Source organism: Homo sapiens, chromosome 8 (genome assembly GCF_000001405.40).
Source record: "Homo sapiens chromosome 8, GRCh38.p14 Primary Assembly".
Classification (NCBI taxonomy): Eukaryota; Metazoa; Chordata; class Mammalia; order Primates; family Hominidae; genus Homo; species Homo sapiens.
In genome coordinates, this window is record NC_000008.11 from 19787666 (window position 1) to 19800919 (window position 13254).

Here is a 13254-nt window from a genome sequence, read left to right on the forward strand (position 1 = left end):
TTGAACCCAGGAAGCGGAGGTTGCTGTGAGCCGAGATCACGCCATTGCACTCCAGCCTGGGCAACAAGAGTGAAACTCTGTCTCAAAAAAAAAAAAATGCCTATATTCAAAAGGAAAGAATGGATCACAAATTAATATGCCAAATGTTACCCCAAAATGGTTGTGTTTACAGGCATGTAAGCTTTTACTACAGGGCTGACACATAGGAAGTATTAATAAGAGCAGCTATTATTTTTGCTTTGTTATTATGAATGGCAATACATATTTATTTTTTATTTAATGATCTGGTATGACTTTAAAATAAAAACTAATCCTCTTGAAAGAATTAGAAACTAAATTTGAATGGGGGTGACTTCTGGGTATTGCAATTACGGGTAATTTGTACTTTCTTGCTTGTCTTTTTCTGAATTTTATACAAGAAACATATATTCCTTATATAAATGTTAAGGGGGGGTTATTTACTTATGTATTTATTATGATTATTATGAGATGGAGTTTCGCTCTTGTCGCCCAGGCTGGAGTGCGATGGTGCAATCTCGGCTCACTGCAACCTCCGCCTCCCAGGTTCAAGAGATTCTCCTGCCTCAGCCTCCTAAGGAGCTGGGATTACAGGAGCCCACCACCACACCTAGCTAATTGTTTTTATTTTTAGTAGAGACAGGGTTTCACCATGTTGTCCAGGCTCGTCTCAAACTCCTGACCTCATGTGATCTACCCGCCTTGGCCTCCCAAAGTGCTGGGATAACAGGCATGAGCCACAATGCCCTGCCAGGGGTTCTTAAATGTTTAACTTTTAACATCTGTATTTAACACATGGTTCTTACTGATCTGAACACATTACTGCTCTGAAGTTCACTCAGAGTCAATTTATTGAAATCATATTCACTACAATATGTTCATATCTATCAAGATAAGTGACCTGGAAAGCAGGACTTACACTTTTTACTCTTTATACCTCTGTAAAGTTTTACTTTCTTATACTGAACATGTATAAATGTATTATCTATATAATTTTTTAAATAATTTAAAGGAAAACTTGGAGAAAAACAAACTGTTTTGTCCTCAGACTATAATCAGGGCACTTAATACTGTTGTGACAAAAGTAATACAGTAACTATCAACTAGTAATCTCAAACTAGTTATTTCAAACAGATACGTTGCTTTTACGAAGGAGATGACTGTATTTGGAAGGTAGTTCAGAAAAAGAGAAAAAAGCCAACCAGCCAGTTATTTCTCCATTTTGTTGTCTTGGTAACTAAGGCAGCTGCGTGAGCTGTTTTCTATTATTTTCCAATCCTGTTCCAGAAAGAAAATTTTTAAATAGGAAAGCAGATATACCGAGAATGTAATTAATCTCCCTGAAAACGGACCATTACAAATAATGTTACTGGACACAAGGATAAAAAAGAACCCAAACAAAAGTACTAGAAAAATATAAACCTAATGCTAAAGGGTGTTACACATTTGGTTCCCTTTACAGAGTTAATAGGAAACGATTTTTCAATAGGCTCAAAATTTCTACAGCTGGAATCTAAAAGGCCCAGGCAAGTGTGGCTTACTCAGAAACCAGTCAGAGTGGAGAAACGCTTCGTCGGGCCAAAATCACTAATACAAAGAAATAAAACTTCCCTGGTGAAAGCTCCAAAGAGCAAAGAGCATGACTTCATGGAATAAATCGTTCTAAATGGAGTCTGTTTTCAACAGCCACATGTAAAGTGAAATTGATTCTACCATAAGTAACTCAAGAAAACAAAGATTTGGAGCAACAGGAACTATATTACAGAGCTATATTAGTATAACATATCACAAAGCTTTTGCATGTATGTAACTTTCTAAAACAGGTTGCTTACAATCAACCACATACATCCCACCAATATCTGCAGAGTAGAAATGTAAAGAGCTATAGTTGGGTTGGTATTTGCTCTTAGTTGGGTTGGTATTTGCCTAGATTCAAGTCAGCTCTACTTGACACAAGTGAAAATGTTAATAAATTGTATTAAATTTGAGAGCATAAAAAAGAACAAGAATCCTGTTTTCTATATTTTTCTCTCTTACTCTACACATTGCCCAGCACAGATGAATGATTTATCTTTTAGTGAATCAATAAACCAGCTGGGAAAATGTCAGAGATATCAGTTAGTGATAGAAAAAGATACACCCTCAGATTCAAGCAATTAACACAATAAGTAAGCAGCATTATTTTCTGGGTGGGCCAGCTTCCAAAAACCATTTTTCAAGTTAAAAGAAAAACTCAAGTAATCCTAAAAACCATACTATTTGAGTTACTCTCTACACAGGACAGAAAAAAAAATGAGTTTAATTATAGACCCTGTTTTTCATATTCAAAAATAAAGTTTTTAGTTATTTTAGTTATTACAAAAACAGACTGTGACACAAAAATTAGCCGGGCGTGGTGACGCATGCCTGTAATCCCAGCTACTCGGGAGGCTGGGGCAGGAGGATCCCTTCAACCAGGGACGTGGAGGTTGCAGTTAGCCAAGATTGCACCACTGCACTCCAGCCTGGGCAACAGAGAGAGACTCTAAAAAAAAAAAAAAAAATTGTGCTCATTGAACACCCCTCTTAAGGAGAAGGTGGGGGAGGACGACAAAGAGAAGAAAAGAAAATTAAGTCCAGCAAAAAGAGGAAAGAAAGTAAACCCAAGACCTAGTCTCCCAGCGACAGTCACTGTGGATAATCTTAGCATAGGCATGTCCAGATTTTTCTCTTTGCTTGTACAGATTTTCCCCCAAATATGTGAGTATGACTTTTTTTTTCACTTAAAAATGTAGATGGTGTCTTCCTTTCTGCCTTTATTTTCCTCTTTTCCTTCTTCTTTTTCTTCCTGAAAAACTGAGTCCAAGATCATTAAATCATTAAGTGGAACCAAGTGAGGGGGGCACCCTGTGGCTGAGTGTGAGGGTAGGGTAGGGAGGGCAGGCTGTGGCAGCCCAGCATGGGGTACATCAGAGACAGCAGGGGGAGGAGTAGAAGAGGAGTGGAGAGTGACATTGGCAGCCTCGTGCAAAGTGTCAGAATTCAAGTGGGGCCAGGCACGGTGGCTCATGTCTATAATTCCAGCACCCTGGGAGGCAGAAGTGGGAGAATTGCTTTAGCCCAGGAGTTCGAGATAAGCTTGGGCAATATAGTGAGACCTCTGCCTCTACAAAAAATTAAAAATTAAAAAAATTATCCAGGCGTGGTGGCACACACCCGTAGCCCCAACCACTTCGGAGGGTGAAGTAGGAGGATCACTTGAGCCTGGAAGGCAGAGGTTGCAGTGAGCTGAGATCTGAGATGGTGCCACTGTACTACAGCCTGGGCAACAGGGTGAGACCCTGCCTCAAAAAAAAAAAGAAAGAAACTAACTAAAAAATTAGAAAAATTAAAAAAATAATCCAACTGAGTGAGGAGGACACCACCATGAGGGGCAGCCTGCTGCGTGGCGGCTCCCAAACAGGAATTTAAAGACTAAGCAGGATGAGAAGAGCATCTGTGAGGGGGTGGGCACTGGTGGTGATGGTGAGGCAGGAGAATAGGGTCTGGGGGCAGGGAACCTACGGCTGATTCACACTGACTTCCTATAACTAAACCAAAAGGAAAACCCTAACTTTCCATGCCCAAGTAACAAAAGGACCGGAGGCTACTCCGTTTGCAAACCACCCCTTTTCTCTGTGGCAGATGAAAATTTCAAAGTATCTCTGATTGGTCCCCTCCCACAACCAATCGGGCTGGTCACAGGCCAAACCTTCATTTGCATAGAAGTATAACTTTGTAACTGTACTTCAGCCTCTGGTCGGTCACTTTCTGCAACCAATCGGACATTTGCATAGCGTGTAACTTTGTGACTTCACTTCAGCCTCTGATTGGTCCCCCTACAACCAATCAGACTGATCAAGGGCCACTACTTCATTTACATTGGGTGTACACCACGTAACCAATGGAAAATCTCTAGAGGGTATTTAAACCCCAGAAAATTCTGTAACCAGGCTCTTAAGCCGCTTGCTCAGCCCACTTTTACCCTGCGGAGTGTAGTTTTGTTTTCAATAAATCTGTTTTTGTTGCTTCATTCTTTCCTTGCTTTGTTTGTGTGTTTTGTTAAAGACACCAAGAACCTGGACACCCTCCACCAGTAACAATGGGAGCTAATCTACATACATATGGGGGATTCAACTAATAATATATTGAGAACCAGGTGGTTTCTCACTGTTAGAGAAGGAAGGTATTAATATGGGAAAAAAGAAGACAGGTGTGAAAGTTGTGATTGTAGGTAGAAACTAGAGAGATCAGTGTGAATTCATGGATGTACATGTATATTACACATTCTACACCAAGGAACCAGGGCTCCTTGAGAAATAGCTAATACTAGGGCTAGAGCAAGGAAAGGACATTATATTTGTTTATTGAGGCTACCGTAACAAATTATCACAAGCTTCATGGTTTAAAATAACAGAAATGTTTTCTCTACAGTTCTACAGTCCAGAAGTCCAAAATCAGTGTGTCAGCAGGGCTGAGCTCCCTCTGGAGGCTCTAGGGGAGAATCCTTCCTTGTTTTTTCCAGGCTGGAGAACCCTAATGCAGATATCAATGTTAATTTCTTGATATTTATAGTTGTATGTTGATTAGGTAGGAGAATGACCTACACCTAACCACAGTACACAAGTATTCAGGGCCATCGGGACATCATGTTGGCAACTTCGTTTAAAATGGTTAAGGAAAAGAAATCTTTACTGTTTTTGCAATGTTTTTATAAGTTTATTTCAAAATAAAGGGTTTTTTTTAATTCAACAATGATTTTGGAAGAAAAAAAGCATATGGTGCCCAGGCATGGTGGTTCACATCTGTAATCCCAACAATTTGGGAGGCCACGGTGGGTGGACCTCTTGAGCCCAAAAGTTCCAGACCAGCTTGGGCAACATGAAGAAACCCCATCTCTACAAAATAATACAATAAATTAGCAGAGCGTGGTGGCACACACTTGTAGTCCCAGTTACTCAGGAGGCTGAGGGGGACGCTCACCTGAGACTGGGAAGTCGAGGCTGCAGTGAGCTGTGATTGCACCTCTGCACTTCAGCCTGGGAAATGTAGGGAAACCCTTGTCTGTAAATAAATACGTCATTTAAAAGCATATTGTAAACACTTTTCACATCAGCAGTTACATTCATGTAACATCATTTCAAATGTTTTTACACACTTGTATAGATCATCACTTATTTAACCAAATCTTCTATTGTTAGACATTTACATTGTTTCCAACTTTGCATTATTTCAAACAGCAGTTTATTGAACATTATTATAGTACCATAGCTGAGTATATTCTTAATTATTTTCTTCACATAAATTTCTAGAAGTGCAAATGCGGCATCAAAAGGCATTCATTTGACACTCTGTATACACGTATTTCCAAACTACCTTTTGAAATGCTAAATTCCCTTGCCACCAACAAACTTAGACTCTGCTTTAAGTAGAATGACAGGCCACTGCTCACCCAGAATTCACAGCTCCTTAAATGCCCTAGCCAAGCACTCAAATTGCCCAGACTCCAGTCCCAACTTCTCATTCCCACCTTAAATGCTTCTCCTGGTTAATATGGAGTCTCTGTGCCAACCCGATAATACTGCCCTTCAAAGTGTAAACCACATGTGTGAGCTGAGAATGGGCTTTTGAGTTAGACCAAAAGCTAGTATTTGATGCCCAGCTCAACTACTTATTAGCTCTTCTACTGTGGAGAAACTACTTACTGGTACAACATTTTAACCATATGATATGTTTTTATTAAATTTTAAGAGTAAAATCATTTTAAAATACGAAATTGCAAAGTCACGTGTGTTAGTCCAGGTACTCTAAGAAGTAGATACAAACATGGTATTAAACATACAAGACTTGTATTAGAGAAAACACCTGTGGGAGAAAATAGGTGGGGAGCCAAGAAGGCCTAGAGATCCACCAGATCGACAGACTGACACAAGGAAAGAGGACGCAAGTGAAGGAAATAGGGGAGAAAAATTGAGTGGAAACATCCCAAACAGCCATGGCCATGCAATTTAAGGCAATCTCAGCAGAGCTTTTGAGAAGTCCTCAAGCTAAAGTCAGCTGGCTGAAGTCTGTCTCCTAGAAATGAGTCTGCCTCAGCATCTCAGCCACACCCTGTCATTGGCTTGGCGCAACCTCTGAGTAACACGGCCTGGTGCAAATGTTGCAGCGCACATCAGAGCACTGCAGCTCCGGCCCTTGCACAGTTATGCTCCCTGAAGTTAGAGAGCTGCAAGTCACATGCTCACAGTGGCCATACCTCGTTTATTCTCTGTCTCTGCAGGTTTCCAGCTGGGGAGCAATGCAACATTTAACCCCATTTGGGGAATCAGCAGCCCAGACTCTGGAACAAATTCTGCCTCTCAGAAGAAGGAGATAATGGATTATATTTTTCTATTCACAAAGAGATTTGGAGGACTTATAGGAATAAATTGACAATTTTACCAAGGACCATAAGAGAAGACTAGAATAAATGAAGAAATATACTATTTCCCTGAATGGAAACATTCTAATGTTATGAAAATATTATTTCTCTCCAAATTATTTGCCATTCCAGTCAAAATAACCATGGGATTGATGAAATTTTTCAGCTATTCATCTTAAAGAATAAATGGGAAGGAATGGTTTTAAAATGTTAGAAAGGATTAATAAAAGAAAGGTTCTCACACTTAGCAGACATGGAAAATTATAATGTTTGGTCGTTAAAACTGTGTGGAAGACAGACTGATGGAAATGATTCAAGAGGTTAAAGCAGACCTAACTACAAAGAGTGTTTAGTCTAGATTAAATGAGGCCTTTTAAATCAGTTCTGAGATAATCCAATAAATGGTTTTGGAAAAGGCTACTTGGAAAAATAAAATCAGATCCCTAAATCTCACCAAACACCAAAATAAATTACAGATGGATTACATTTTTAATGTACAAAAAAAACCCAATAAAGTACTTAAAAATGTATGAGAGATTACTTATCTGAGTTTAGAGTGGAGAAAGCCTCTCTAAGCATACAAGCAGAAGCATAAACCCATAACATTAAAGATTGATAAATCTGACTACATTAAAATTTAAGACTTCTGCAAGTCCAAAAACACCACAGAAGATTCTGGGAATGTGGCAGTGGCAGACGTGACATAGCTTTGGGTTCTTTCTGAATTGCCATGTAACAATAGACAGAGAAACTATTTAGCAATGGCAAAATCACGGATAACATTAACAATAAACCTGGGTGAGAGGGTATGCCCACAAACCCCAAAATTCAAGCAGATAAGGACAAACCACCAACAGCCACAATACCTGTATGGTATTGACATCTTTGCAGGAAGAAACAGAGAGAAGCCACCGGGCATCTGACAGGGTGAGAACAGCAACACCACAGAACAGCCAACAGAAATCCACAGTAAAGAACAGCAGAACACCTTGACAGTGGACACTGGAAGACAGTTCCCATGAAAATACAAAATGATACAAAAAGAAACAAACAAAAAAAGGCATCTTTAAAAAATCGCTAACAGATCTAAAAGAGAAGCAGTAGAAGATGACTCTGGAATATCTTGTTATAGCAGTTGATATGGTTTGGCAGTGTCCCCACCCAAATCTCATCTCGAATTGTAGCTCCTATAATCCCCACATGTTGTGGGAGGGAACTGGTGGGAGGTAATTGAATCATGGGGATTGTGTCCCCCATACTGTTCTCGTGGTGATGAATAAGTCTCACGAGACCTGATGGTTTTATAAGGGGAAACCTCTTTTGCTTGGTTCTCATTCTCTCTTGCCTGCCACCATGTAAGACGTGCCTTTCACCTTCTGCCATGATTGTGATGTCTTCCCAGCCTCATGGAACTGCAAGTCCATTAAGCCTCTTTTTCTTTATAAATTACCCAGTCTTAGGTATGTCTTTATTAGCAGCATGAAAATGGACTAATACGTCAGGTAAAAAGGAAGCTGTCAAAAACTACTAGAGTATTGACAGAATAACTCTGTGCAGCCAACTCAAAGAGGATTCTCCTGGCCAAAGATAAGACAATAGGCTCTCAAGAAGGTTAATCATTGCAACGATCTGAAACCCATCAAATAAATTTAAACCCGAGAGTTCATAAGAATACTAACTAATTGGGCTGGGTGCAGTGGCTCACGCCTGTAATCCCAACACTTTGGGAGGCTGAGGTGGGTGGATCACCTGAGGTCAGGAGTTCGAGACCAGCCTAGTCAACATACTGAAACACCATCTCTACTAAAAACACAAAAAATTATCTGGGCATGGTGGCGGGCGCCTGTAACCCCCACTACTTGGGAGGCTGAGGCAGGAGAATCACTTGAACCTGGGAGGCAGGGGTTGCAGTGAGCCAAGATCATGCCATTGTAGTCCAGCGTGGGCAATGAGCAAAACTCCATCTCAGAAAAAAAAAAAAAAAAAGAATACTAACTAATTAATATTTTTAAAACCGAAATTAATCACTTTCAGAGGTTGATAGGAAACCAGTTGTCTTGCAGATCTAATTAATAAAGGACACGAATCAAGCATGTAATTTTCCACTCCTGTATGAGCTGCATCCTATATGAATTATAGCACGAGAGTAACAAAAATTATATTTATGAGCATATTCTAGCCAACAAGTGAAAGAGAAGTGATAGAATTTGACGAGCAACATTTCATAATCCCCAGTGAATTATTAAATCTAGGCACAAAGCATTCGCAGCTGTTAACATCACCATCAGAGAGACCGTCAGACATCACGTGCCTCTTGATAAAACCATCTACAGTCTTGCCAAATACATCAAACCTAGTCTGACCCAGTCTCTGAATACAGCTGCCAATTTGCAGAAATTAGATGACACTTAAAATTTCACCATAAGTATGCATTTAATAAAACCCAAATCGTGAGAAGCTCTACAGATCAAATAGTCTGGTTTCTTCAATAAATGCATTGTTAAGAAAACAAAGAAATGGGGTGGGAGACAGTATAGAATAAAAGAACCTTAAACAACATACTAATATAATGAGAGTTGGCAGAGAAATTAGAATCCTTGTAGATTGCTAGTGAGAATATAAAATAGTGCAGCTGCTGTTGAAAAAAAGTTTAGCAGTTCTTCCAAAAGTTAGCTGTAGAGTTCTCATATGATCCAGCAATTCTATTCCTAAGTATATATCCAAGAGAAATGAAAACACAAGTTCACACAAAAACTTGTACACAAATGTTCATAGGAGCATTATTCATACTAGCCAAAGACTGGAAACAACACCAATGTCCAATAGTTGATGAATGGATAAACAGAGTATGGTATATACATGCCATGGAATATTATTTGGCCATAAAAAGGAATGAAGTACTAATACTTATTATAACATGGATAAGCCTTGAAAATTTTATGCTAAGTGAAAGAAGCCAGATACAAAAATCACATTTCATATGATTCCATTATATGAAATATCCAGAAAAAACACATCCTTAGGGACAGAAGGATTAATGGTTGTCAGTGCCAGGGTGAAACGGGAATAGGAAGTGGCTGCTAATGGGTACAGAGTTTCTCTTGGGAGTGATGAAAATGTTCTGGAGTTAGATATTGATTGTGAGCGCACAACTGCGAGAATGTGCTAAGAAACACTGAATTGTATGCTTTAAAAGGGTGAATTTTATGGTGTGCAAATTATATTCCATTTTCAAAATAACAAATAAAGGGGATATATTAATTTTTAATGGATAATACTAAACCACAGTGTTTATGGATGCACGCTTGGGTGTTCAAACTATAAAAGAAGTTATTTTATACAAGTCAGGTAGTGGTTACTTGTTGGGGGAAGGAGGGAGATAAAGATGAGCATATAGGGGCTTTGTGGGAGACAAACTTCTCTTTCTCCACCTGGGAAGTAATTACAAAGATGTTTGCTTTAGAATAATTCACTAAGCTATGTTTTCATTTTGTTTGGTCATCTATATCCATGTTTTACAACAAAAACATTATTTCTAAAACATCATAAGATTAAAAGGCACACTATAAAAAGTCCATCTATGTTAGCAAATGATTAATATTCTTATTTAATAATCTTTAAAAAATTAATAAGAAAAAACTTAGCTCACTTTAAAAATGAGCGAAGATATTTCATAGAAGACCTACATTGAGCAATAAACATATTTTTTAATGTTCAAACTTGCTTATTGTCAAGGAAATGCAAGTTCAAGTAAAAAATAAGAGTGTGATTGATGATATTGGAAAAGATAAAAATAAAATGGCAATACCTAATGTCGTTGAGCATGGAGAGAAGTAGCATTCTCCTACAATGCTGATAGGAATCTAGTTTGTCATAACTTGTTTGGAGAGTAATTTGGCAATATTTAATATTAAAGTTTTTTTCCAAAAAACCTTTCTAAAAATCTTTACTTAAATGACTTCACTTTTAAGAATTTAGTCCAAAGAAATTATCATGAAAGTTTGAAAAGGTGTATAAACAAAGATGTTCAGCGAACTATTATATAGTTTTAAAAAACTAGAAATAACTAAATGTCATATATAATAAGGAGCTTGTTAAATTATCAACTCAAGGAAATAATATGCAGCCGTAAAAATGTAGAACACTTAATAATGTCGAAAACGTTAGTGAGATGGTTTTGAAAAGAGCAAATTTAAAAGCAATGTCTACTGCAATACTATCATTTCCTTTTAAACATCTCTACTATTCCATATAACACACATAAATAACTGTGTGCAGAAAAAATGGGGATAGCTGATTTATCACAAAATGAATATCTGTTACCACCACCCAAGTCTAGAACTAAAATCTTTCAGGCATCCCCAAAATGCCCTCCTTCTACTTCCCAATCTCTATACCCTCCCTTCTCTGCAAATGAACCACATTCCTGATAGGATTGTAATCATTTCCATTCTTCATAGTTTCATCACTTGCATTTATATCAGTAAACGCTATAATTTAGTTTGGTTTGAGTTCAAACATTATGTAAATGGAATCATATAATATACGTTCTTTTGTTCTTGGGCTCTTTCACGCAACATTTTGGTTGTGAAGCTCATCCCTCTTGTTGTACCTAGTAATCGTTTTTCATTGCTGTATACACATTGGAATGGAAAAAGCCTTTCTAATGGGTTACATGAATATACCACAATGTCTTCATTCACTCTGCTCTTGAAGGACATTTAGTTTCCAGTTGGGGAATATGCTACTACAAACATTCTTCTAGATGTCTTTCATCACACAGGGAGCGTATAACTCTGTTGAGCGAATTAGGAGTAGAATAACCAGATGAAGTGATATGTAGATCTTCAGCTTTTATAGATTATATCTAACAGATCGCCAAATTGCCTATAACCATTTGTCACTCTCATGAGCACAGTGAGAGTTTCCATTGTTCATATCCTTAATAATACTGGTTATTGTTACCCTTAATCATAGTATGGTTGTGTAGCAATATCTTGTTGAGATTTGAATGCGTATTTTCCTTATTTCTCATAGCTTTATTGGCCATTTAGATATACTCCTTTATGAAGTGCCTATTCAAAACTCTTGCCCATTTTTTCTATCGGATTACTTGTCTTTTCCTTTAAAAGTACAGAATATAAGTGGAGAAAAAGATTTTTAAAACGGACTGCATGGATCCTCCCTAATGGCAATAATGACTATTTCTGAATGATGGAATTACGAGTGATTTTATTTTCTTCCTTGTGCTTTTCTGTACTTTTCTAATTTCCTATAATGATTATGTATTATTTTCAGAAAGTTTAAGTGTTACACAATTATAATGAATAAAAACAATTGGTTTTAGCAAAAGACACTGTCCAGGAAATAAGTTTGAATACTGACTTGTTAAATGTATGGTATATAGGTAGAGTATCATTTATCTGAAATGCTTGGGATCAGAATTGTTTCAAATTTAAGATTTTTTTTATTTTGGGATATTTGCATATACATACTGAGAGATCTCAGGAATAGGACCCAAGTGTAAACACAAAATTCACTTATGTTTCATATACACCTTATACACATAGCCTAAAGGTAATCTTACATACTATTTTGAATAATTTTGTGCATTAAACAAGGTTTTGCCTGTGACCCATCACATGAGGTCAGGTGTAGAATTTTCCACTCTGGTGTCATGTTGGTGCTCAAAGAAGTTTTGCATTTTGGAACATTTTGGATTTCAGATTTTTTGATTAGGGATGCTCAATCTGTATTTGGATGATTTACGGTGGTGATTCTCAAACTATTACAAGGTGTTCCACAGCTAAAATTTAATAATAGTGTCCTTTTCCAATTTTCAATGGTTTAATTTATTTTGTTTAATGCCTTAGTACCAAACTTAAAATACCAAATTATTGACTTATATACATGTCAGTGAATTATTTACATGTCCAATAGGATCAAGAAGAAACAAAAGAGAGAACTTTGAGCCATAATTAGGAACTCATTCTCTATATCAAGAATGTCTTCCTTCACTCTCATCAGAACTCATACTAATGTAGCAGCTTCTTAAATAAAAGTATTTGTTCTGATAAATCACAAGTTTCAAGGTGTTAGATTTCCTGTATCCAAAATAAGTAATTATCAAACATTAATCAAATAGCTGTACCCAATAGTGTATAGCATAAAAAATTAAAACAATGATTGCTCTCAAAGAAATGCCATCTAATAGGAGAAATAAATCAAGCTAATGGAAATAACAAAAATATGATAGTGTATAAATAATGCAGGGAGTCAAAGAAAACATATTTAAAAGTAAGATGAAGCCATAAAATAAGGCCTAATACAAGAGGAACATTAAACTTTCAGAAAGTAATTTTTCTTCATTATTGGGACTCTGCTTGATCACTCTGTCACAAGAGATGCTACTCTACAACAATTAAGATTTTTAATCTAAATTAAATTTAAATTAAATTTAAACTTAAATTTAATCTAAATTAAATTAAAACTTAAATTTTTAAATTATCTTCTTATTTTTAAGATAATGGCAAGTTGATGGTTTTACAATAGTCTCAAAAGCTTTAGTTCCCCAGGATCCCAATCCTTTCTCTACTAGATTTTATGGTATATGTATGTCTTATTTATACACAGAAACATGCCTTCTTTTGTCCTTGCCTAACCTGGAATATCACTTGAAGAAGGCCTTAAAATGTTATTAAAAATTAATTTCCAACTATGACTTTCAACACTTCTAAATTCCACACAGCAACTTAGAGTCAGTTTTCATAAATGTTAAATTAGAATTTCAACACATA

General features: G+C 37.0%; 1 annotated feature.

Annotated features, from left to right (window-relative positions):
• Nucleotides 1200-1400: a silencer, noted in NCBI's record as "peak6933 fragment used in MPRA reporter construct". NCBI's record gives its function as "represses an SCP1 promoter by STARR-seq MPRAs in K562 erythroleukemia cells {active_cell/tissue: K562}" and the evidence as "EXISTENCE:reporter gene assay evidence [ECO:0000049][PMID:32103011]".